This window comes from Homo sapiens, chromosome 8 (genome assembly GCF_000001405.40).
Source record: "Homo sapiens chromosome 8, GRCh38.p14 Primary Assembly".
Classification (NCBI taxonomy): Eukaryota; Metazoa; Chordata; class Mammalia; order Primates; family Hominidae; genus Homo; species Homo sapiens.
The window spans coordinates 94,925,431-94,950,597 of NC_000008.11; the positions used below are offsets into that span (position 1 = coordinate 94,925,431).

General features: G+C 43.4%; 2 protein-coding genes across 17 annotated transcripts in view, besides 8 other annotated features; one reads left to right on the forward strand and one right to left on the reverse strand.

Annotated features, from left to right (window-relative positions):
• The window catches only part of NDUFAF6 (NADH:ubiquinone oxidoreductase complex assembly factor 6), a 222,698-nt gene that overhangs the window by 29,632 nt on the left and 167,899 nt on the right, over nt 1–25,167 (forward strand). For 3 of the 14 annotated variants that reach the window (NR_148908.2, NR_148907.2, NR_148909.2), the window contains exon 1: nt 24,130–24,929. The exons of 9 other annotated variants lie outside the window; for them this stretch is intronic. The gene's annotated coding sequence lies outside the window, so the exon portion shown is untranslated. Of the gene's footprint in view, nt 1–20,052; nt 20,190–24,129; nt 24,930–25,167 lie in introns of those variants that run through there. 2 more of the 14 variants (NR_148905.2, NR_148906.2) reach the window with 1 other exon arrangement.
• TP53INP1 (tumor protein p53 inducible nuclear protein 1) lies at nt 542–23,948 on the reverse strand. Of its 3 annotated transcripts, NM_001135733.2 has the most exons (5): nt 23,724–23,948; nt 15,400–15,661; nt 14,430–14,790; nt 6,640–6,677; nt 542–5,298 (listed from the first exon to the last, which is right to left on the reverse strand). In NM_001135733.2, the coding sequence occupies exons 2-4, from the start codon at nt 15,509–15,511 to the stop codon at nt 6,656–6,658; spliced, it is 495 nt and encodes a 164-aa protein (NP_001129205.1). In that variant the 5' UTR covers nt 15,512–15,661; nt 23,724–23,948; the 3' UTR covers nt 542–5,298; nt 6,640–6,655. The 3 variants fall into 3 exon arrangements, with proteins under 3 accessions (NP_001129205.1, NP_150601.1, XP_011515688.1); NM_033285.4 differs by lacking the exon at nt 6,640–6,677; XM_011517386.3 differs by lacking the exons at nt 6,640–6,677; nt 23,724–23,948 and adding an exon at nt 20,084–22,914.
• Nucleotides 23,289–23,917: an enhancer, noted in NCBI's record as "H3K27ac-H3K4me1 hESC enhancer chr8:95960947-95961575 (GRCh37/hg19 assembly coordinates)". NCBI's record gives its function as "activates a minimal SCP1, AML or CMV promoter by ChIP-STARR-seq in primed H9 embryonic stem cells {active_cell/tissue: H9 hESC(primed)}" and the evidence as "EXISTENCE:reporter gene assay evidence [ECO:0000049][PMID:30033119]".
• Nucleotides 23,289–24,583: a biological region, named in NCBI's record as "H3K27ac-H3K4me1 hESC enhancers GRCh37_chr8:95960947-95961575 and GRCh37_chr8:95961576-95962205".
• Nucleotides 23,364–23,503: a silencer, noted in NCBI's record as "silent region_19375". NCBI's record gives its function as "represses an Ori minimal core promoter by ATAC-STARR-seq in GM12878 lymphoblastoid cells {active_cell/tissue: GM12878}" and the evidence as "EXISTENCE:reporter gene assay evidence [ECO:0000049][PMID:35858748]".
• Nucleotides 23,724–24,103: a silencer, noted in NCBI's record as "silent region_19376". NCBI's record gives its function as "represses an Ori minimal core promoter by ATAC-STARR-seq in GM12878 lymphoblastoid cells {active_cell/tissue: GM12878}" and the evidence as "EXISTENCE:reporter gene assay evidence [ECO:0000049][PMID:35858748]".
• Nucleotides 23,918–24,547: an enhancer, noted in NCBI's record as "H3K27ac-H3K4me1 hESC enhancer chr8:95961576-95962205 (GRCh37/hg19 assembly coordinates)". NCBI's record gives its function as "activates a minimal SCP1, AML or CMV promoter by ChIP-STARR-seq in primed H9 embryonic stem cells {active_cell/tissue: H9 hESC(primed)}" and the evidence as "EXISTENCE:reporter gene assay evidence [ECO:0000049][PMID:30033119]".
• Nucleotides 24,184–24,293: a silencer, noted in NCBI's record as "silent region_19377". NCBI's record gives its function as "represses an Ori minimal core promoter by ATAC-STARR-seq in GM12878 lymphoblastoid cells {active_cell/tissue: GM12878}" and the evidence as "EXISTENCE:reporter gene assay evidence [ECO:0000049][PMID:35858748]".
• Nucleotides 24,414–24,583: an enhancer, noted in NCBI's record as "active region_27637". NCBI's record gives its function as "activates an Ori minimal core promoter by ATAC-STARR-seq in GM12878 lymphoblastoid cells {active_cell/tissue: GM12878}" and the evidence as "EXISTENCE:reporter gene assay evidence [ECO:0000049][PMID:35858748]".
• Nucleotides 24,754–24,803: an enhancer, noted in NCBI's record as "active region_27638". NCBI's record gives its function as "activates an Ori minimal core promoter by ATAC-STARR-seq in GM12878 lymphoblastoid cells {active_cell/tissue: GM12878}" and the evidence as "EXISTENCE:reporter gene assay evidence [ECO:0000049][PMID:35858748]".

Here is a 25,167-nt window from a genome sequence, read left to right on the forward strand (position 1 = left end):
GCCAGTGTATTACATTCTATATTTTTAAACATTGATTGGAGGGAAAGGTACTGGTTGGGGATCACCATCCAATTCCTGTTCACTTAAGTGATTCCTCATTTTAGGTTAAAAAGAAATCCTTTTTTTTTTTTTTTTTTTGAGACAGAGTCTTGCTCTGTTGCCCAGGCTGCGCAGTCTCAGCTCACTGCAACCTCCGCCTCCCAGGTTCAAGGGATTCTCCTGCCTCAGCCTCCCAAGTAGCTGAAACTACAAGTGCACACCACCACGCTCAGCTTATTTTCATATTTTTAGTAGAGACAGGGTTTTGCCATGTTGGCCAGGCTGATCTCGAACTTCTGGCCTCAAGCGATGTGCCTGCCTTGGCCTTCCAAATTGCTGGGATTACAGGCATGAGCCACTGCGCCCAGCCTTAATATATACAAGCTTTTAAAAACATATATAAAATGTGTATTAAATACATCTTTTGGACAAAAAAACTAAACAGTAAGTTGTACCTCCTTTTAATATTAATGAGTATAAAGATAAAAGAATCTGACAAGTGTGAAGTTAAAGGACACTTTATTTACTGACAGATTGAAAACTGTAACTCCAGGTAGTGCAAAATGCACCACAACCCAATTACAAAGAACAGGTGTTAACACACAATGTTTAAACAATGCTACACTCATTTTTGGCAAAGTGCTGTATTGTTCAGTCTGTGTACAAAACTGACCATCTATGAACCAATCAGTATAAAAAATTTCTATAAAAACAAAATTTAGACCGTGGCTCAAGAAAACAAGCTGCCATTTATGCATAGATTGATGTACAGTAACCTAACCAAATGTCCCTTTTGAATTTTCAAGTTACTGAAAAAAAATGTGTCGAGAAACACATTAAGAAGGCACATGTACAGTCTACAATACTCTTCAGTCTCCCTAACTCATGCCCTGCCCCTATAAAGGAAATATGTTCACAATTTTACTTGAGAAAAAAAAACAAAGCCACTTAAAAAAAAAAAAAACACACGCAATTATTAAAGTTCAAAATCTCTGGAGGAAAATACAAGCAAAACCACTCATACACTCCAAGCCTGAAACACACATCTAACCTCCCCAGGTACTGGTTTGGTTTTCAGAGGTCCACCTAGAAAACAAATACTAAAACTTCAGGCAAAACAGAGCAAAACTGGACATTTAACAATTACACAATTTTTAAAAGTGTCGTAAAATTCTCAACTATATACAAAACATTGTCCACTTAAGCTGCCTGCCTTTCAAGAGTAACTCTCCTCCCATGCAAAGGATACTGTTGCACATAAAAGATATCCTCATCTGCATGTTTTCCAGTACCTCTTTCTCCACCCTAAACAGTTGAAATTTAATTGGTCTCAAATTTCAAGTGAAACTGATACATGGCAAGGCTGACACCACTGTATCATGTAGGTTTTCTAAATAAAGCATTTTATGTATAATTTTAAGCATTAAAGTAAGTAGATAGGGATGCCATTTCTAATATATCAGCATGGCTGATGGCAGTGAAACCATCCAAGATAGAAGGCCCACTTTTAACAGAGTTTAACCAGTATTTATGGGCCTTATAAAATAAAAAGATAATTTTAAAGTAACATTACAAACATATACTACTAGTGTCTCCCAGTACAAGGAGCAGTCTCTTGACTCAAAAAATGAAAACTAATATGTGGAAACTCTTAAAGTTTTCCCACTAATCTATTTAAATGTAAATATCTGTCTTCTAGTTGGAGTCCTTCATGTTTTTGTTTCCAACTCAGAGAAAATGAGAATAATGAAGATACTCTTCCTTGCTCGTTTTTCTTAAGAGTACATAAAGATAATATATAATGTATTTCATTGAGGAGGAAGAGAAGTAGCAAGGATTTCAATGAAGACATAATGATTACAAACCAGTGTACTATACAGATTTCAGAAGCAGAAACAATGCTGAACAGCCTGCTCAAGTTTTAAATAAACTGTCTTCTCACTCAAAGTACTGATACAACAGAGAAGGTATGTAAACAGGAACAGTTTGCATGGGGATTGGAAAAATGTATAGGAAATTAATATTTCTTAAAAGCTCCCTGCGATAGGAAGTCGAAAACCCAATCACTTTGCATCTTTCTGCAAAAAATTCCCCACCCAATCAACCATATAAATGCATTGCCACAGAAGATAAATAATGGATGGCTAATTTTCACCTTACAGTGCAGTACACAATTAGTTGAGAAAAAAAATAAACATAAGATATATATTATAAAATGTTTTGTCAACAAAAACAAACTTTGAGAAACATGGCGCACTATAAAAGCTAAGAAACTCATTCACGAAGCACTGCTTGTGTACACCACATATTCCAGACTTTTTCCAAGTAACATTCTATGTTAACAGTTTAGAGCTACTAATTCAGAGAGGTCTTATTTCTCACTGCTTGCATTTTAAAGAAATATGTCTAAAGCGCATTGTAAACCACTAATATTTACAATAGCAAAAAAAAAAGCTCATAAAATGCATTTTGGCCATGTTTCAGAGAATACTTAACAGGTCAACATCGTTCTGTGTTGTGGTTGGCCTTGTGTCTTACATACAGGAGATGCCTAACATCTAATAACCAAGAGTTTCAACTGAATTATATAACCATTTTCTTCAATACTTACATGTGCCAATTTTAGGCAGAAACCACAGTATGATATTCCAGGTGGTGTGGTAATCCCAACCTTGAAAAAAAGCCCAACGAATGTAATTTTTTGTTTTCTAGGTACAAAGCATAAAAAACTAGCCCCAGGTAAGGCAAACAAAAAGTCAATAAGGAAATCTGGAAAAAAAGGCCATTGCAGTTATACACAAATCTGTTCATGTTGCCAAACAAAATCTCATGGCTGAACTTCTGTAGCTTGTGAGGTACTAACAACTTACATGCAATGTATGAAAAAGAGACGCCGTGTATTCAGAGTTTTACATCCTGAAGACATTAAGCTGGTCTATTTTCAAGTTACCAATGCATGGCCCTATAACAAACATCGTATAAAACATACACACCTTCATGGAAACTATCTTATCTCCCAACTCTGGTAAACACAAATAGTAAGAGAAAACAACTTCTAACTCACTTTGACAAAACTTTACAGACTTGGCCCCTAATTAGACAACAAATAAATAAAGGGGAAGTCAAAACGGAAGGGGCAATAAGGAGAAAGGGGGAATCTAACTCTTGTTCTAAAGAGACATTCTGGCACTTCATCACAGCCAGTAGAAGAACAATGTAAAACCTCCATCTCACTACACATTTGACGTCTTCCACTCCAAACGCTCTAATCTAGTCAGAAAAGAGCACAGCTCTTCGCTGAAAGTCCCCCAGGGTTCCCTGCATCAAGCCACTACAGGGTTATTGAAAAATATAATACTTCACTTAAGGATATGCTGCTTTTCTCCTTGAAAACATTTTGTAGACCTGTACTCATTTAATTAGGGTTGCAGAGGAGATGGAAAAACAAGCTGTTTGATTATGAAGGCAACACTTCTGTCAGTAGAATTGCTTTGGATTGTAAATATGTTTACTTCAGAGGAAATCAGTCAGAGTGGATGGCTCAGCAAAACCCATCACAACTGCGGAAAAAGGAAGTGACTGGCTAGAGGTAAGGAAATAGATTTTCTCTAAGTTAACTGGCCTACGTGTGAATCGAACCCTGCACCCTGGCCTCATTAGCACCAACACTGTGAAGAACAGCTGTGGCAGAGAAAGTGCCACGGCCCCACCCCATCACCAGATTCAGTAGAAAGGCCCTTGGAATTTCCTACAAGGTTCAGTTCTGAACAGCTCCACTTCAAATCAGTATAGAATCCTCACAGTGACTCTGTGAGGGAGGTAAATGTCACTGCTCCCCGTTGGTGGGGGAAACAGAGGCCAGAGTGGTTAAAGATTTTGCCTGAAGTTAAAACAAAAAATGAAAAGTCACTTGGACTGCAGGGAAGAATACTTACAATACAAGGCAATTAAAAAAAAAAAAAGAAAAAAGTTGAGCCAACCTGTCACTCTTCACTCAGATGCCATGAAAGACATCATCACCAGACAGTCCCCACACTCTTGCCACTTGGCAGGACAGGCTCCATGACAGAGGATTTTTCACTCTGTGGAAATATAAAGCCTATCTCTTTTCCCATGGGCAGAGAGAAATATGAAGTCACTTGAGTGCCTGGACAAGTACTTCCAAATTTATAGCTGATGCGAGGTGAGGAGTGGACAGAATTGGCGGGAAGGAATAGTAACAAATTAAATACTGCACTAATGGGTTAGTTACAGACATGAATTTTTCCAAATATAATCTCACAGGTCTAATTTAATCCCTCTGCACGAGACAAGTGCCTCTGTCTACAACACCTGTAATGTCTGTACCACGTCATGCAGTCACATTGGAATTACTGCATGCACTCTTCACTAAAGCTTAATGTACCTGAATTCCAAATGAACTGTATGACTAATCTGGGGAAAAACCATACACACAGAATACATCAAGTTTTCTTTCAAAAGAAAGTCCAGCCATAATTCCATTATATCCATGGCAACTATCACCTGTTAATGCTAATGTTAGTGTGTAAAAATGTATTCATCATATACAGAGAGATTATCAAGTACTGGTCAATAAAGTGTACAGCTGACCCTGAGAATAAATTTTTGCTTGCTTAAAAGATTAAGTAATACAAAATAAAATGAAAATGAAAGATGCCTATTCTCGTACTTGGGAAGAAATGTCTTTAAAATGCTGACTAATGTATAACCTAATATATTTAAAGACACCCCCAAACACTGTAATTATATTGATATGTTTCCAGAAATAATCTGAAAAAGTGTACAAAAAAAGTAAATGTTAAAGGCAAGGCATTATGTGATACACAGCATATAAATCTGATTTTCAAGATAGTGTCTAAATACACTGATAAAACTATGTGATTGGTTATCAATTGGTTGTAAAGAGACAACATTTTCACTGTACATATACACACATCCATACATGTAAGCACAAACCAAGAGAAACCAACCAACAAAACTTGAAACTATTAGTAATTGTACTGACGCGGGCAGGGCTGATGAACAACCCAGCCATTGTGCTTGACTTGCCGAGGGTGGCAATCCCTGGTAAGATTTTGGCGACGAAGGCTATTTCTGTTAAGAGGCTGTCTTTCACTGTGTTCTTTTATCCACTGGGAAGGGCGAAAGCTCTTGGGTTGTTCCAGAAAAGTTGTATGAGCAGCAAGAGCTGCAACATAACAATGAATATGCTGCCCCATTTCATTTTGAGCTTCCACTCTGAAACAGAAAAAAGTGGGGATGTATTAAATAACAGAGTATGTTATTAACAAAACTGGAAAAGTTACTTAGCAATTCAATTTGCCACGCTAATTTGTTTATGGCTGAATGAGAGCTTGTGTTTCATGGCTGACAGACAAGTTTATTATTCTGTGACCCCACTGACTGATAGTGGTGGAAAGGAGAGCCAACTGTTACTAGAAAGATGCCATATAAGCCCCAGATGGCTCACTAAGTAGACTGTTTTCTAAAAATACACTTTAAACTTTGAATTTCATTTACGGAGCACACACATTTATATAAGCTTGTCTGGGAGGGGAGCTAACATTTATTGAATATCTGCATTTGCCAATTCTTTTGCAAATATATATTTTAATTCTCACCATAATCTTAAAAGGAAAATATTTTAATTCCCAAATTTTACTGATCAGAAAGCAGTGTGCTCACAATACCTTCACAAGACATTTCCTGTCTATAAGTAAAATGTTCCAGGAAACATGCTTTAAATCTTTATTTAATAGAAATTTGCATATGGAAATTCTACTCATTTGCCATTTTTCTAGATAAAAAGCTATAGCTTAATAGAATAAATCTCTTAAGTTTTTCTTTATCTCACAACAGGGCACATTTTGAGATGGTATTTACATGGCAATATAAGACTCTTGAATAACACAATCTTAAAATTGGCTACACACAGTATGATTATGTTTTCCATATAAAAAAGCTAATCAAGTAGGATTGCTGTAAACTATGTCAACACGTAACATGAAGAGCTGTATGATTTTTAAGAGTTATTTTACACAGGAAGGGCAGTGACACATTCTGCCTAAAATCACTTGAGGAAACACACATATTTATTACACACACACACACACACACACATAAAATTTTTTTAAAGTAGAATTTTAAGAGGCCACAATAAGAAACTAATAGAAAAAAGTTAATATAAAGAAAATTATTTTTAGGCCAGGCGCTGTGGCTCGCTCTTGTAATCCCAACACTTTGGGAGGCTGAGGCAGGTGGATCACCTTAATAGAGTTCAAGACCAGCCTGGCCAACATGGTGAAACCCCATCTCTACTAAAAATACAAAAATTAGCCAGGTGTGGTGATGCAAGCCTGTAATCCCAGCTACTTGGGAGGCTGAAACAAGAGAATCACTTGAATCTGGGGGGTGGAGGCTGCTGTGAGCCAATATCACACCATTGCACTCCAGCCTGAGTGACAGAGTGAGACTCCATCTCAAAAAAAGAAAGAAAGTCATTTTTAAAAGGTCAGCATTTGGGTCCTTTGCCTCCCTATGCATACATATATCACACAGTCTCAAAGTGAATATACTTACTCTGTGCCCGTGAGTCTTATAAGCAGCTTTTCCTGGCCCTACAAATGTTAAATGGTGAACTATTAAATCACTAGTAAGATTTAAAATGCTATTGTAACTTTACTATTAGGACGTGGTCAACTTTTATTAAAACTGGTTTACTATGTGCCATTAAAGGCACGTACATGTGCTTAAGATAACATGTAAAACCTTCAAAAACAATACTTATAAAGGCTAAAATGCAATGAAATGTATACCCTGAAGCCCACTGTAATTACAAAGCACCTCAATTTTCTGTGCTTTATGGTAATATCCCCAATGATAGACACAATGGAAGCAATCTGACTTCTGAAAGACATATGATTCATTTCCTGCTAAGAAAACAGATATTTACTACAAAGCTAGCCTAATTTTGGTAACACCTGATTTCCACCTTGATTTAGCAAGACTTCCTTATAAGAATTTCAAATCCCTGCCGGGCACGGTGGCTCACGCCTGTAATCCCAGCACTTTGGGAGGCTGAGGCGGGCGGATCGTGAGGTCAGGAGATCAAGACCATCCTGGCTAAAACAGTGAAACCCCGTCTCTACTAAAAATACAAAAAATTAGCTGGGTGCGGTGGCGGGCGCCTGTAGTCCCAGCTACTCGGGAGGCTGAGGCAGGAGAACGGCATGAACCCAGGAGGCGGAGCTTGCAGTGAGCCGAGATAGCGCCACTGCACTCCAGCCTGGGCGAAGGAGCGAGACTCCGTCTCAAAAATAAAAAAAAAAGAATTTCAAATCCCAAAATAAGGATGTTAAAAAAATTATAGTTACTATTTTAAAACTAATAATTTACAGGAGTTTCCTGTGTACAAAAAGGATTCACATAAAATTCAGTGCATTCTGGCCGAGCACAATGGCTCATGACTGTAATCCCAGAACTTTGGGAGGTCAAGGTGGGCGGATCACTTGAGGTCAGGAGTTTGAGACCAGCCTGGCCAATATGGTGAAACCCCATCTTTACTTAAAATACAAAAAATTAGCTGGAGATGGTGGCATGTGCCAGTAATCCCAGTTAATCGGCAGGATAAGGCAGGAGAATCACTTGAACCCAGTGCGGAGGTTGCAGTGAGCCGAGATTGCGCCGCTGCAATCCAGCCTGGGCAACAGTGAGACTCCGTGTTAAAATACATAAATAAAATTCAGTGCCTTCCTTTGACCCTTTATATATGGAAAAGTATGTATTTGTTTTACTATCCCTATATAACTATCATATATGAATGCAAAAACAAACAAGATATAAAAACAACATTCTCACTGTACCAAAACTAGAAAACCATAACAACCTTGAAAAAGAAGGAAGGAAGAAGAAGGAAGAAAGAAGAAGAAATCTACTGAAACAAAATGGTGGAGATCATTGCCTAAATAAGTAGTTTATAAAATAGTATATCTGGGCCGGGCACAGTGGCTCATACCTGTAATCCCAGCACTTTGGAAGGCCAAGGCAGGTGGCTCACCTGAAGTCAGGAGTTTGAGACCAGCTTAATCAACATGGTGAAACCCTGTCTCTACTAAAAACACAACAATTAGCCAGGTGTGGTAGTGCACGCCTGTAGTCCCAGCTAATCGGGAGGCTGAGGCATGAGAATTGCTTGAATCTGGGAGGCAGAGGTTGCAGTGAGCTGAGATCGCGCCACTGCACTCCAGCCTGGGTGACAGAGCAAGACTCTCTCAAAAAAAACCCCCAAAAAAACCAACTATACATCTGGGCATGGTGGCTCATGCCTGTAATCCCAGCACTTTGTGGGGGGGGGGGGAGGATCACGAGGTCAGGAGTTCAAGACCAGCCTGGCCAACATGGTGAAGCCCCGTCTCTACTAAAAATGCAAAAATTAGCTGGGCGTAGTGGCGGTGGCACATGCCTGTAATCCCAGCTACTTGGGAGGCTGAGGCAGGAGAATTGCTTGAACCCGGGAGGCAGAGGTTGCAGTGAGCCAAGATTGCAACATTGTACTCCAGCCTGGGCAACAAGAGTGAAACTCTGTCTCAAAAAAAAAAAAAGAAGTATATATGGCATGTTGCCATTTAGGTTAAAAGTTTATGTGTACGTACAGGCACAGAAAAAAAAAAACACAATCTGGAAGGATATACTCTAGGATGTTAAAAGTATTCATCTCTGGGTCATGAAAATGTCATTTCCAATTTTTGCATATTTGTATTTTCTAATTTTTTTACATTGCATTTGTACTGTTTCTGTAGTAAATTCTTTTGCAAAGCTGCTGACTACACACACACACAACACTGCAAAGTAAACATATAAATGCCAGTAAGTTTAAAGTGACTATTAATTATAAATTCTATTTTTTTTTTTTTTGAGACAGAGCCTTGCTTTGTCACCCAGGCTGGAGTGCAATGGCGTGATCTCAGCTCACTGCAACCTCTGCCTCCCGGGTTCAAGCAATTCTCCTGCCTCAGCCTCCCTAGTAGCTGGGAGTACAGGCGCCCACCAGCAAGCCTGGCTAATTTTTGTATTTTTAAGATGGGGTTTTGCCATGTTGTCCAGGCTGGTCTTGAACTCCTGACCTCGTGATCCACCCACCCCAGCCTCCCAAAGTGCTTGGATTACAGGTGTAAGCCACTGCACCTGGCCTAATTATAAATTCTTGAGTGGCATTCCTCAGAGGTAAAATCATAATCAGAAGGGAAGAATTTTCAAGAAATGAATCTGAAGCAACTCTAAAGCAATTAAATCAATAGCAACTCCACAAAGTTATATTTTAAATTTTTGTTGGAATGCCTGAAACACCTCTTAATAAACTTGTAGCACTGAATAAAGTGCCAGTTAAAGTAACATTCCCCACCCATGACCTTACCTAGGATATAGCCTGGCATCATGTAACATAAGAAAGTTGTTTTCATTTTGGTACAAGCAAAATGAAATATGTTTAGCCTCATAAAAAATCATCTACAATATTGAGACTTGAGAGTATGGCAAACTCTGGTAAAGTTAATAAATTAATGTGCTGCCTAGGGTTTGTTTATATCTGGAAAACAGGAAACGGTAGGTAGGTAGGTAGGTAGGTACATAGGTAGATAGATATAGATAGATAGATAGATAGATAGATAGATAGATAGATAGATAGATATAATACAATACTTTTCTTAGAGTCAGAGCCTGGACATGACAACACTAACAATAGGGATATTCTGAACTGCTCCAAGGATCCAAATCCACCTGGACCCTCAACCTAAGAGAGGGAATGCCAACATTCCCAAAATACTTTAACAGGAAACATTCCACTAAGGTACACGATAGAACAGTGTGACTTTCAGCTAATTAACTGGGTAATGGGGTTTACTTTAGTGGGTGGGAGCAATCTCAGATATTTCCTAGCTATATTCTCTGGACAAAGGTCATATGATGTCTGTAAATTCGGGGAAACTTAAAAAGCCAGAAGGCAGAGATTACAAGAAAAGTGACCAACAATTGCTTGGGGCAATAGACAGATTGATTAATCAAGATAATGACTGACAAATGGGCAAGGATCTATTTCTCTGTCTCTGCTGGGAACCAAAGGCCTCTCCTACACAAGTGGGTAAAATGGTCGGGGTGGTGAAGATAAATTCCTGGGACTCCTTGGTATGGGAGCTCCATGTACTGTGGTATCAAGATCTATTGGTAAAGCCCTGATTCAGGCTACAATTAGATTGGAGAACATAAAAATGCAAGGGTTGATAGAATTATGAAAGTTAGGATGTTTAAGTGAGCTTTACGTAAAGAAGTTATATCCCCTTTACCTAAATGTTTTATGAGAATGGATATGTCTGGCTGGAGACACACTTCCCCTACCTAGTACTGTAAAACAAAAGGCATGTAAATCTGCCCTTCATGACAATATTAACTGGACATGCTAAATGGGGACCAACAGCACTGCCCAGGCCCAATGGTGTATAGTAGAAGCTGGAGTGGTGGTAGGGACAAATTATCTGTCTGATAGTCTTATGTGGAAGGGAAACTGGCACTTATGGCAAAAGACTGTGAACACCTCTCAGTAACAACTACTAGCACTTTGGACTAGAGAATTTCCACATGAGAGGCATTTACTCCCTTGCCACAGGACATTAATTGAAGCTACCCCTAGGATTGAAGGACATAAAATGATCTTGAAACCTGAAATACCCATGCTGTGTTTGGTGATGTCAGAGAAACACTAATTAGGAGGGCAGTGCCCAGAAGAGTTCCATAATAAATGGAAATGGTTTATACAGGATCATGTTATGTAGGGAATGTAAGAAGGACACACCCACAAGCAGGGAGCCTCTCCCCACCTTGGACTGACTCTGGAACTGTGTGAGGAGCTGGATTCCACACTGCCAATAGCTCTCAACTGACTGACAAAGAGCTGCTTGGTTGTGGATGGCAGTTCCAACGTGAACAGACAGCATCTTGTTTGGAAGGATGCTACTTTGATCAAAGAAGGTAAAAACAAATCGGCTCTGTGGGCTGAACTGCACGCTGTTTTCCTAGCGATGATGGAAGCCCCTAGGTTTGGGTTTTTACTGACTCATGGGCAGTGGCTAGTGGACATGGTCAGGCAGAATCACAATGAAAACCTGGACTTTTAAAGGGATGGCTTCCATAGGGAGCACAACCCTACGGAAATTTGAGGGGTATATTAGGACATGCCAGTGGCCATCAGAAGAACTCCCTTCCAGGTTTGGAAGGTGACTGGGACTGGAAGCAGATATATCTCCGTGTGCTCCCTGGAGGTGCCATCCTGGGTTCATTAAATGAGTGGTACAGGCAGTGCAGAGACAGGCTGCATCTAGACATTCCTCTTCTACTCTCTCAGGCACAAATACCAATGAGAACCGTTCTGCCAGCCAGCAAAAGAGACAGACTACTGATGAGGGGCAGATTCCCTGGTGGGAAGGCCCTGAGCATAGCTGCAAGTGAGACTAGTGCTGGTAGCCCTGGGGAGCTACAAAATGGGTCTTGAGAAGAAAAGACAGTCTCTGGAGTGGGCTTTACTTAACCAATGGAAGATGCAAATGCTCAGAGTGCCAAAAAAACCTACAACAGAAGATACTGCCTGGATGTGGATAGTTAACTGTCATTTCTTCAGACCAAAGGACACACTATACAGCCCATAATGCCCAAAAACACTTTGGGAGGCAGAGGCGGTGGATCACCAAAGGTCAGGAGTTCGAGACTAGCCTGGCAAATATGGTGAAACCCCCTTTCTACTAAAAGTACAAATATTACCCAGGTATGGTGGCGGGCGCCTGTAATCCCAGCTACTTGGGAGGCTGAGAAAGGAGAATCACTTGAACCCGGGAGGCAGAGGTTGCGCTGAGCCAAGATCCTGCCACTGCACTCCAGCCTGGGTGACACAGTGAGACTCCATCTCAAAAAAAAAAAAAAACCCAAAAACAAAATGGGGGGATAAAAGCATGAAGGGCTGGCTGTCCCCACAAGATTTTCCTGTTTTTCTGGTATCTGAGGAAGAAGGGATGGGGAGGAGGATGCTGGCATGACTTATGCAATTCTAGCCAAGGGTTAAGTATGCTAGTATAATGACTTTAACTTTTTCTTTCCCACATCACCTCATTTTTTTTTCCTCTACTGGATGCAATGGTCCTAGGACCAGGGCTGTAACTACAAGTACTGGAAGCAGGGATGGTTCCTGAGCAAGAAGCTGTAACTATGTTTTTAAACCTTATGTCAAAATTCCTAAGGGTCTTATGGGGGTTACCTAGACCCCATCTTGCAAAACTGGAGCCAACAACGAATGCAGCTGTATTGTCTGGTGGTAAAAACAGCCTACTAATTTTGTACCTATGTCACCTTACCCTATCTGAATGGGAGTGGACTGAGGGAGAGGTACTTGCTAAACTAGTATTGCTACCTGCAATCTAGACCAGCACAGTGGCTAAAGCTAACGTCCCTTCCAGAGATGGAAAAGTTTGGGTATAAATGAAGAGAAAGAAGATAAAAGAATGAATAAATAGGTTATGAATTGGGATCAATTCATTATATTAATACCTTGAAACAGGCTCAGAGAAAAAGATGACATTGTTTCTAAGCTCAGGTATACCAGATGCCTGAAAGGGTGAAGCTACGTGTTTGCTAAAACCATTTCTGCTTTTGGAAACCAACAAGATCAATTAACCTGCAAACCTGAGTGGCCTCACCCTGGGAGACATGCTCATACAGTACGATGATGGATGGAATGAATTACTGACTGAATGGGATTCTGGTGTTGTGCCAGTATTTTTTGAGTTCCATATCCTTTTGTTGTAAGGAATCCAAGTTTGAAGACTGAGGCTGGACTGTGATACTGTAAAATATATATTCGGTCTTGTCAGTCTCCTGGCATACAACTCCTAAAATCCTTGGAACCTCCAATGTGGAAAGCGTATGCTAATTAGTTGACTGGTGGTTGGCAGCAACTAGGCAGCTTCAGGATGGGATGTGGTCACTATAAAGACCAAGTTACAGTTGGGACTTTTAGCCCCACCCCTCAAACTCCAGAGAGGGGAGAGGGTCTGAAGGTTAAGCCAATCACCAATGGCCAATGATTTAATCAATTATGCCTATGTACTGATGCCTCCATAAGACCCCAATAGTACTGAGTTCAGGGAGCCTCTGGAGAGCTGAACATGTGGAGGTTCCCGGAGGGTGGGGTGCACAGAGGGCATGGGCCTTGCCTTATGCATCCCTTCATCTGTATCCTTTTTAATAAACTGGTAAACATGTTCCCCCAAGTTCTATAAGATGCTCTAGCAAATTAATCAAACCCAAGGAAGGGGTCGTGGGAACACCAGTTTACAGCTGGTTGGTCAGAAGCATAAGTAAAACCTGGGGCTTGAGATTGGCATCAGAAATGGGAGGCAGTCTTTTGGGACTAAGCCTTTAACCTATGGGATCTGATGCCATCTCGAGGTAGACAGTGTCAGAATTGAATTGAATCAGAGGACACTAGAGGGTGTCCACTGCTGGAGGACTGTTTGCCTGGTGTGTGGAAAAAACCCACACATCTGGTGTCAGAAGCACTGGGTGACTGTGCAGTGTGAGTATTGCAGGAAGAAACTGAGTTTGTTAAATTCTCAGACAAGGTTTTCAAGGTTACATCATTTGATGAGATGTAGCTAGAAATACTTGGAAGAAAATAAATTTTAAGACATGATATTCTAGTTGAATTTGATACCCTAAATAATCCAGTCTATAAAGTCAGAGTTATGTTCTAAGATACTTAACAGAAATGCCAGTCTTATTTCTAATCAGTAGCAGAATTTTGTAAATGAGAATGCTATTATATAACTGGGGCCATGCTACATCTAACTTTCTTAAAAAAATCTAAAATGAACAAGTTTTTGTTTTTGAGACAGAGTCTTGCTCTGTCACCCAGGCTGATGTGCAGTGGCACAATCTTGACTCAATGCAACCTCTGCCTCCTGGTTCAAGCCATCCTCCCACCTCAGCCTCCTGAGTAGCTGGGACTACAGGTGTGCACCACCACACCTGGCTAATTTTTTGTTATTTTTTGTACAGACGGGGTTTCACCATGTTGCCCAGGGTGGTCTTGAACTCCTGAGCTTAAGTGATCTGCCTGCCTTGGCCTCCCAAAGTGCTGGGATTACAGGTGTGAGACACTGTGACTGGTCAACAAGTTATCTTACGGACCATCTTGTGTACTATGCACATGCTTTCATAAATCTCTAACAAAATTAGTTTTGCATCTTCTAATAACTTAGCTTTGAATTACAGTAGAGACAAAATGCATGCTCAGTGGACTGCCTACAGAGAGTTAAATACTTGTAACGTACCTGGGACTACTTGGGCTATGTAATTCATCAGTCCCACGGGTGGCCTCACTGAGACCAGGGCAGGAGTTATGCACAGCATAGACAGACATGCTGGGATGTTCAATGAGAAGGTTTTCCATAGGACTTGTTTCCACCTTGATAGTGGTTAATCCACCTGCAGTAAAACATGGGGGTGGGGTGATAAACCAGCTCTCCTCCATTGGACATGACTCAAACTGGAGAAAGCAGGAATCACTTGTATCAGCCAAGCACTCAAGAGATGCCGGTAAACAGGAAAAGACTGAAGGGTGCTCAGTAGGTGACTCTTCACTGATGTCCTCCTCTTCTTCTTCTTCTTCTGCTGAGAAACCAGTGCAAGTATCTAGATCGTAGTCCACATTGCAGTCCACATGTGTTGTTGAAGAGTCCCACAGGAGGATGATTATCACATTGGGCAGTCATTATAAAGTCACCCATCAAATTCACAGCACAGAAAAAGAAGAGATGATACTATTAGCTGATGCTCACGTATCTTCTTTTATTTAGTTCAGAAAACCATTTATATTCATCTATATGACTATAAATTTATTTCTGAGCACAGAAATTCTGTGTGTGTGTGTGTGTGTGTGTGTCACTATATGGGATAGATTTATGTTGGCTTTGCAGGAGTGATTTTAAGACTGTTTCTATTCTGCTGGATAACTATGTAATGAGACATATTGGTTACTACTTGTCTAATAAAAGGGGCTTCTAATGAAGTGCCCTTGATCTAATCAATCTGTGAGAGTTGCAAAACTAAAAAGTCTGATGTCAGTCAATTTCACTGACATTATCTAGCACAGATGGTTTCCTGCAATTTTTTAAAGACAAACTCCTGCTTACTTTTAAGGCTGAAAACCCCTCAGTTATTGGTTTCCTTATGCAAAAACTGAGATGCAAGTTTCCATTTTTACTGTGAAGATGAACCACCAAGTAACCAAGTGTACCTTACCTATGAAGTCAACAAGAATCCATTCATCATCTTCTTTCTCATTGAATTCTGGTTCTTGGTTGGAGGAAGAACTGACTTCACCCACAAACATTTTATTCAGCCTCTGGAACATTGTTAAGGCAAGACTGAGAGTTTGGCTGGATGTCTTTTATAGCTGAGATTTCAAAACCTTGTCTTTAGTTGGCCCAATGGTACCGACAGGAGATTAAAGTGCACAGGGTGCTTATTCAACTTAGGTGAAAAGCAAGAAGAGTCATTGTACCTAAAATAAAACAGAAAAAGGAAGTTATTTCAAATCAGCATGCACATATATACATAAGTACATACACATACACACATACCCTTAGAAGAAAGCATATGCCTTGGCCTACATTCTACAGCTATTCCCTTTCTGCAGGAGTCAAACACAAGAAATGCAACATAATGTTTTGTAAATACTCTTACTCAAATTCAACCTATAAATATCTTAAAATGTGAAATAAAAGGGAAAGAGTTGGTTCTTTTTCATATTTATGCTTTTATAATAAGGTGAATTTGAATAATATCCTTCAAACTTTTCTGCAAGCAGATGAGCAAATTCTAGATAGTAACAGTCTTGCTATATGTTATTCAACTGCTCAGAAGTCCCAGCAACAGTGCCTGGTGACCACCATTATGCCAGGCCCTCATCCTCCTCTGGCTCATTTTCTCTTCTACTCTGTACTTCTTGTCTATAACTGTAAGCACACCTGATTACACTTAAAATCTGTAAGCCCAGCAAGCATACTTTGACCTTCTAAACAATTCCTACAGCTGGCATGAAGAAATTTACACTGTAGGAAACTGAGCTTGGCCAAACCTAGAACTGGAAACACCCTTCCTGTGTAGCAGCTCAGCAGGTGGGTGCTGGGTCAGCCACCTGCATTCAAACCCTGGCTAGCTGCTCACTTGCTGTGTGAGTTAGGAAGTTATGTGACTTCAGCTGGCAACAGCTCCTACCTTAGGGAGTTCTGGTGAGTTCTAAATGAAGAACTCCAGGCTTGCTTGATCTTGGAATATTTATCCATTTCTACCTGGCTACCTGATGGGCGTATCAAACCAAACACATACCAAAGATAGGTTTTTTTCCCCCACAAACTTATTCATATACACTGCCCTTCATCCCTTTCTCAGGAAGCAGCAGCAGCTGGCAGTTATTCAGGCCAACACCCTAGCAGTCACCCTTCACGCTTTTTTTTTTTTGAGACGGAGTCTTTGTCTGTTGCCCAGGCTGGAGTGCATGCAGTGAGGCGATCTTGGCTCATTCCAAGCTCTGCCTCCCGGGTTCACGCCATTCTCCTGCCTCAGCCTCCCAAGTAGCTGGGACTACAGGCGCCCACCACCACATCCGGCTAATTTCTTTTTTTTTTATTTAGTGGAGACAGGGTTTCACCATGTTAGCCAGGATGGTCTCGATCTCCTGACCTCATGATCCGCCCACCTCAGCCTCCCAAAGTGCTAGGATTACAGGCGTGAGCTGCCGCACCCGCATGCCTTTTGCTCCCTCCTACTCACCCCTCATCCCAACCACCAAGTCCCGTCAACCCCAGGAGCACAGGCAGCTCGAATCTGCCTGCTTCCATCCACCACTCTCATCCTAGTTTAAGCCAAACTGTTGTCTCTGAGACTTTGCCAAAACTGTCTACTAGACAGTCTCCCTGATCCTACTCTTGTTAAAGGCAATGGACTTAGCAAAATACTTCGAATAAAGTCCTCAGTCCAGGTCAACTATTATTCTACATGTATTTACTGAGCACCTGTTATGCATCAGGTGCAGTGCTGGGCACAGGGGAGATGGCTGTGAACAGGGCCCTCCCACAAGTTTAACAATCCAGTGTGATGAATGCCATGGAAGAAGTATTTGGTGTTCTCCAGGCTACCTGGGTGGACTCCTGCAATGACTTTACTCTTGAGTGGCTGAGGTCAGTAATGGAGGAAGGGGGCAAAGGAACACTATGGAAGCCTGTGGATGAGTGAGAATGTGGCACCTTCAGTACCGCTCAAGGTCCAGAGGGAGGGTCACAATAGCAGGCTAGGGGAGCTGAGCAGGAACCAGGTCCTGCAGGGCCTTGTAAGCCTGGAAAAGGGGAAGGGAAAAGTCAAAGACCCAGGTTTCTGGCTTGGCCAACTGAGAGGATGGTGGAACCATTTAGGGAAACAGGAATGAATCCTGCAGAAAGTACAGGTTAGGCATTTCGAATATGGTAAATTGGGGGGATATGCAAAATAATGCAGTTGGAGATGTCCAGCAGGCAGCAGGATATAGAGCTTTGGAGCTCAGGAGTGTGGTCTCAGCTAGGGGCATAGATTTGGGAGCTGATGACACAAAGACAGTGATAAAAAGCATAGGAATGGATGAGGCTAGGTGTGGAGGCTCATGTCTGCAATCCTAGCATTTTGGGAGGCTGAGGCCACAGGAATGCTTGAGCCTAGGAGTTGGAGACCAGCCTAGGCAACAAAATAACCTGTTTCTACAAAAAAATTTTAAAAAATTAGCCAGGTACAGTGGTGTGCACCTGTAGTCCTAGCTACTTGGGAGGCTGACGTGGGAGGATCTCTTGAGTCCAGGTTCAAGGATGCAGTAAGCTATGATTGTGCCACTGTACTCCAGTGTGAGTGACACAGCGAGACCTTGTCTCAAAAAAAAGTTATATATATGTATGAGATCATCCAGGGCTGAAGAAATGCACCTCACTAATCACCACCTCTTTTTATCACAAGCATCAGCCTTGAATCTACAACTTCAGGCTCCTGACAGTTCACTTTCAAAATAATCTTTAGCTGTAAAAGTAGTTGGGATCTGTAGCTAATGAGATTCCTGGTTCAGTTCCTTGTGTGTAAACTGAACTGCTACAGTTGTTTGGCACACTACTACACAAGTTAAACATTTCAAATAAATAACATTAGAACACTTTGTGGTCACAATTCATCTTCTTCAGCCACTAATTATTAAAAATAGGTAAACAGGAAGTGTCACTTGCATAACCAGTCTTCCTGAAACCTTCTGGAAAGCAGCACGGCCAAATCATGAAGGCTGGAGCTGTAGCAGAATTCAAAGTCAGCTTTATGCTCTATGTAAGAACAATCAGAAGAAAAGTGTAGTTTGTTTGACCTGCTGTGGTGTGATAGTTATATTCCAAAATAAGTTATCATAAGGTCTGATGTAAATAAAGATTTTTGAGGATACATGCTTAGAGGGAAAAACATATTTTCAAAATCCTTCCTCCATTTATTTTAAATTGTGGAGGCAGATATTGGCCCCACGTACAATTCTGTGTCTGCTGAACCAGTTGAGAGAATAAGCCCAATTCTGCAGAGCATGGTGCTGGACTCTAGCCCTGAATCAGCTAAAGCCACTGGGAGGGGAGAACCACACAGGGGAACCTTTGCTTGTCCTGAACGAATGCCTTGTCCCCAACCTGTGATGCTGCATGAGAGTAAGGCACTGGGGCCCAGGTCAGATAACTGGCAGCTGTAAGGCCAAAAAACATTGCTGGGGCCACTGCAGTTGTGACAGCTGCTGGGTTCCCACATGCAAATTGCCCCCTCTGGCCACAGGTCCAAACCCAGGAAGGCAGCTTCTGCCTGGAATATATGCAAGTAGCAAGTAAGATACAGGAAAGGCTTCTCTGGAGGAGCTTTCTAGGGAGCAGTACAAGTCAGTGCTCTTTTGGTTTCCCAAAGTCAGAGGCTGCCTCCAGATGTCCCATATCTCTGCAAGGACAACCAACCTTGGGCGACAGAGTGCTCAGAAGCCCAGCCAAGTGAGGGAGGAGCTCATCCTTCATCTCACTCAAGCCACTGCTGGTGTTTACATGGCACATCTGCTGACACCCGTGGGAAGAACACAGAATGGAGTTCCTGGGGAGGGTTAAAGGGGCCTGGCCATCCACAGCAGCAGTTCTGGCTGTGGCTCTACTACAGGTGGCTGGAGCTAAATTGGCCCTTCTGAGCTTCAGTCTCACTGTTGGGAAAATGGGGAGACTGCGCTGAATCACCTCGTCACTCTCTTTCCCCACAAACTTCTAGCACAAAAAAGTGAGGCTGGTTTAACTAGCAAAGCCAAATTCCTTTGGCCCTGCTTTCTGCAGGTGTCACAAAAGGCAAGGAGCTATTGGAGAGACCCTCCCCCCATTGCTAAAACTGTCCACTGAGGTAGCCACCAGGCACACTGTGCACATGAACACTTGAAATGTGACTAGTATCATCGAGAAACTGCATTTTTCATTTTACTATTTAATCCATTTACTAAGTTTAATCCAGTTAAACTTAAAAGCTGATAATTTAGTTTTTTGAAAACTTTCAAGTATGTTTGGAACAGTTAGGGTATGAATCTACTTTTTCACCTATAAATTTTACGAAGTCTAAATATAGATCAAGTACTTCAAATGAAAACTTTGTATCTGAATTGAGATGTGCTGTATATGTAAAGTACACACTAGAGTGTATTTCAAAGACTTAGTACCCCCCAAAATGCAAAACAGTTTTTATATTGATTACATGTTGAAAAAATAATTTTAGTATATTAAATACATTAATAAAATTAACTTCACCAGTTTCTTTTTCCTTTTTAAATATGGCTACTAGAAAATTCAAACATACATGTGGCTCACATTATCTATTTCTGTTGAACAGGACTGTTCTAGAAAAAGTCTTAAAGGCCTACCCTCCTACTGATGACCCAGAGACTGTCCCTGCCCAGTCACTGCTACTGTTGACCTTGGCTCCTGCCCAGGGATGGAGGCTCTCAACTGGGCTGGTTCTACATGGAGGTAAATGGAAAAGTAGAGCTTTAGACTCCTCTCCTCCCCAGATCACCACTAATATTCACAATGCTAGGGCAATCATAGAACGAAAATAAAAATTCCAGAGAAAGCATGTGTCCTAAGAGGACAAACTTACAAATACAGTTCTGGAATTCAGCAAAGAGGTGAAGCAAAGAAGGTTAGGTGAAGTAGCGCTGTTGTTCTTTGAACAGCTTTAACCAGCGTCAGTCCAGCAGTTTCCCCGACAAGAGAAAAGAACCCCTCAATACAGAAAAGAAACAAAGTGTCTGGGCCCTAGCATTTCAAGAAGGCAGCTTTGTCCTTGTTCTGCTTGGCTCAAAAGACCTCCATCCCTCCCTTTAAAAAATAAATTATGTCTTTTCAATTATAAACTGAACAAAACCACATTATAAAAAGTCTAGAAAATAAGAAAAATAAGTATTATTCCATTGCCTTGTTCCCACCACTTAACACATTGGTGCCTTTTCTTCTGTTTTTTTTTTTCTTCTACACATAAGGCTTCTTTTTATCATAGTTATAGTCTTGTGAATGCACTGTTTTGTATCTCACTGTTACTTAACATTTTATCATCAATGGTTTTCATATTATTACATGAGTAGAGATGCTTTGTAGGCAGAGAAAGGTGGCTGACTGAGTCTAATACTCACGGGGAAGAGCATTCTAGTTTGACCACTTAGAAAAGGAACTGCTAATTTGGAAGATCTTGTTAGCATAATTTATTTTGTCACTTTTAAGACAGCCCACCAAGAGGCAGTATATTGTGGTACTTAAAGACTGGCTCTGAGGCTGGGCGCAGTGGCTCATGTCTATAATCCCAGTGCTTTGGGATGCCAAGGCAGGAGGATCACTTTAAGCCAGGAGTTCAAGACCAGCCTGGGCAACAAAGCAAGACCCCATCTCTACAAAAAATAAATTAGCTGGGTGTGGTGGTATGTGCATGTAGTCCCAGCTACCAGGGAGGCTGAGGTAGGAGGATCGCTTGAGCCCATGAGTTTGAAGCTGCAGTGAGTTGTGATCCCACCACTACACTCCAGCCTGGTCAACAGAGTAAGACCCTGTCTCAAAAAAAAAAAAAAAAAAAAAAAAGACAGGCCCTGGAGTTTGAAATCTTGGCTCTGCTACTTGCAACCTATGTGAATTCAGGATATTTACTAACATCTTGGTGTCTCTGTTTTCTCATCCTTAACATGGGAATGATAGTTATAATACCTACTTCACAGTGCCAGTGTAAGGATTAAGTGTATACTACTTAGAATAGCAGACCTCGGTTCATTCAAAGCCAGTTGTGAGACTGTCAACAAGTCATTTAGCATCGCTGCATTTGAGTTTCTTTATCCATAAAATGTCTACTTAATAATTAGAGCTACAATTTACAGAATGCTTATTGTATGTAACGGGGCCTTGAAGTACTTATTTGTCCCATTTTACTGATGAGGAAACCGAGGCTGAGGAATTAACTAACTTGTTCAAAAGTGACAGAGTTGGTTGGGGTGGAGTCAGCATTAGGGCAAAAATCCATCTGATTCCAATTCCTTGTTTTCCCTATACATGCTCTTTTAGGCTCCCAGTCTCAACTATGGGTCTACGAACTTCAGAAAACAGCCCTTTTCAGTTAGTTTCAGCTGCCAGTAGGCGGCTCCAAAAAATATTAAAAAAAAAAAAAAAACCCGCAAGTTTGATGATCTAACTTCTAAATCTGTGTACAGTTGTGGCTCCTTCACAGTTTCAGGAAATCAGGTGGCTAAACGTACCGTCATTGAAAAGCAGCTTCAGAATTATCCTTCTTTTTATCCCACCCTCTTCCACTACTTTAAAAACGTGCAGATTCTAGTAATTTAAAATGGGTTTTGAACTGGAGAAAAACCAAGCCAAGAAAGTTATCTCTGCTTGTTCCACTTATATGAAGACTAGATTCAAGTAATTTAAAATGGATTTTGAACTGCAGAAAAAACCAAGCCAAAAAAGTTGTCTTTGCTTGTTCCACTTATGTGAAGACTGTTCAACTAGTGTGCAAGGGAGGTTATTCCCCCAGGGATCCACCCCTGTCTGCCCCTAAGGCTGAAAGACAGTGGACAAAGACAAGAGTAAGTGGTAATTCATAGCCTGATAATCTTGAATTTTGAAAGCAGACATCAGAGGAAGCAATGGCAGGAAAGAACAAAAGATAGGATGAGAAAACAAGACCTTGGTCACAGAAATTAGTAAGGTCCTGGTTCCAGGCAGGGGCCTTTTAAAATTATGCTGCCAGTTCAGAATTACACTGATTGCGACTTAAAAGCTTCCCAGTGCTTTTCACATCTGCAAATGAAAATGTATTTCAATTACCAGGCTGGTGATTTCAGTATCGTGGGGGAACTCATTATGACTTCTGTTCAGTGACCCCAAGGGTCACATTGTTCCCCCTTTTCCCAAAACTATTGTGCATTGAGAAAAGGCTTTTTTAGCAATAGATGCCCAAGTCCTTGGGAGTCACAGTTGTAAAGAGGCTCTTCCTTAATCCACTCTGTATTGGAATTAACCTACTGAGCAGATATAATCAGAAAATACAAGCAAAACAGACTCTCCAGGTAAAATTCAGCTGCCACTTTGAAATACAAACACCATTTCCTTTTATTAATTGGCTGTGTGGCCTTGAGCAACTTAATCTCTCTGTGCCTCGGGTTTCCTATGTGTAAGATAGCCGGGCCTATTTCATATAAGGTTATTATGAGAATCAACTGGGGCGATAAAGCAAAGCCCCCAGCATAGTATATGGCACATACTCAGCGCTCAGTAAGCGTGAGCGATCCAAAGGATCTAAATGTTAAGGGCCAAGGAGAGCGCTCTTTCCACAGGTGCAAAGTCAGGTAGCGAAGACTGAGTTCAAGCCAGGTCAAGCAAGGGACAGGCCGCGGACAGGCGGGGGCCGGTGGCCGGGTCACGGAGCAGGTTCCCCATAGCCGCAGGGCCTCCGGAACTCGGAGGGCAGGCGCAGGGGACGGGATCGCAGGGCGGGGACAGAGCGCCGGGCCACAAGCCCAAGCGCCGCTGTCTTCGGAGATGCGTCCCGGGGGTGGCCGCGGGAGCCCCGACGCCGAGTCCCGAAGGGGCGGCCCCATCCAACGGCCGAGAGCAGGCGGAGGAGGAGGAGTGGAGGGGAGTGAGGAGGGGTGAGAGGAGGAGGTCCCGCCGCGGCCAAGAAAACAAGCCACGCTCGGGGGAGGAGGCAGAGACCAAACTCCCAACCGCCGCCCAGCGCCGGGGCCAGGCCGGGCCCTTGTCCGCGCCGCCGCCGCCTCTGTCAGCCTCTGTCCGCGCCCTGGGCCCCGGGGGCCGCCGAGGACCGACCCACTGGGTGGGCGGCCGGGCCCGGCGGCGGCGAGGGGAGGCAGCGAGGGGGCTCGGTGAACGCGCAACCGGCGCCCCGAAGGCAGGGCGCGCGGCCGGCCCCGCCGGGCTCAGGAGCGGGCAGCGCTGCGGCCCCAACCGGCAGCGAGGCGGCCCTGGACGGACGCCCGCCCGCCCCCCCCCGGCACTTACGTGGGCCCGGGCCGTGCGGGGCTGCGCGGGGAAGGGAGCGGCCGCCGGCTCGGCGGGGAAGGACGCGGGCGGGGCGGGACTGCTGAGGTAGCTGCGGTGGGGCCGGGCTGCGCTGCACCTCGTTCAGGTACCCAGACGGCAGGCGCGGGGCCGGCTCCAGCCCTCGGGTCGCTGCGCCCAGGCCGGCCAGTCCAAGTCCTTTTGTTGTTGTGCAGCGCTCGCAACAGCTGATCGGCCGCTCCGCTCGCCGTCGGGCCCCGCTGCCCCGCCCCGGGCCGCGCCAGGCCGGGCCCCACCAATCGGCGGTGCGGGGGCCCCGGGGCCGCCCTGCGAGAGGTTGTCACCAACGCACGTGACCTGGCGCCCGGCCGGCGGCGCGCTCAGCTCCGAAACAAGCCCGGGCAACAAAAACCGGGAGCTGAGCGTGAAGGCCTGGGCGAGCGGAAGGGTGGGAGAGAGGGGCTAGGCCGGGGAGGGAAGCGCTGGGGCCGGGGCCGGCTTTCCAGGAGCCGGCGGGAGCGGGGTGCGTAAGAGGCGGGCGAGGAAGAACCGGCGGGCAACGGGAAGGGCAGAGGTGGATCTCTCCCTCAGCGACCCCTCTCGCCGAGTGAAGGGTCGAGGGTTTGGGGCACAAAGGGCGCAGAACGTTTTTTCCTGTGAGAGGAACATTAAGACTCCTGGGAGGGCTGGGGCTAACGCCTCCGAGAGCCCCACCTGGTCAGCCTAGGGTTAGACGTGTAGCCAGGGTGCTGGGAGGGGGCCGCTGCTGGGCCCCAGATAGAGGGGTAGAGGCCGCTCAATCACGGAGCCAGGCCCCACCTGCTGTAGAAACCGCCACCGAGAGCCGGCCGGGCTTGCTGCACGCTCTGGATTCCGCCTGCCTATAGGCGAGGCACAAGGGACTGCGAGACCAGGCCTGAAGGCAGAGAGGTCAGCAGGCTCGGGGGCCTCTGCTCCAGCGGACAACAAGCGCACCGGGCGGGAACGGCCGCCTCCCCAGGCGCTGCAGCCTAGCTCTCATGTGACCCACGGAACTTAGCCCCTCTGTTCTGTTTGCATACCTGCAAATTGTGGGCATTCACGCCGGGACTGCCAACTCACCAGGTTATTTATAGTGACAAGAGAGTGAGACAGTGGGCTTGAAAGTGTTTTCCAGACCAAGGCTCTGTCCCACATATAGGTGGATTAACTGTCTGGCAAAGGCAGGTGAGTAACGTTGATGCCTATCAGCTCTCATGTGGATACTGTTTGGACTGGGATGTAGTTCTTTGACCTGGGGTGAGCTGTATAGCAACCCTGGAGGGATGCCTATCACACATTACAGTATCTGAAAGACACTCACATTCTGACCCTCACAATGTAGTCAGTCCATTTCCAACAATGCTGGTTTTAAAGGATGTAAATTGCAGTGCAGGGAGTTGTCAGACACCAAGGAGTAATGATC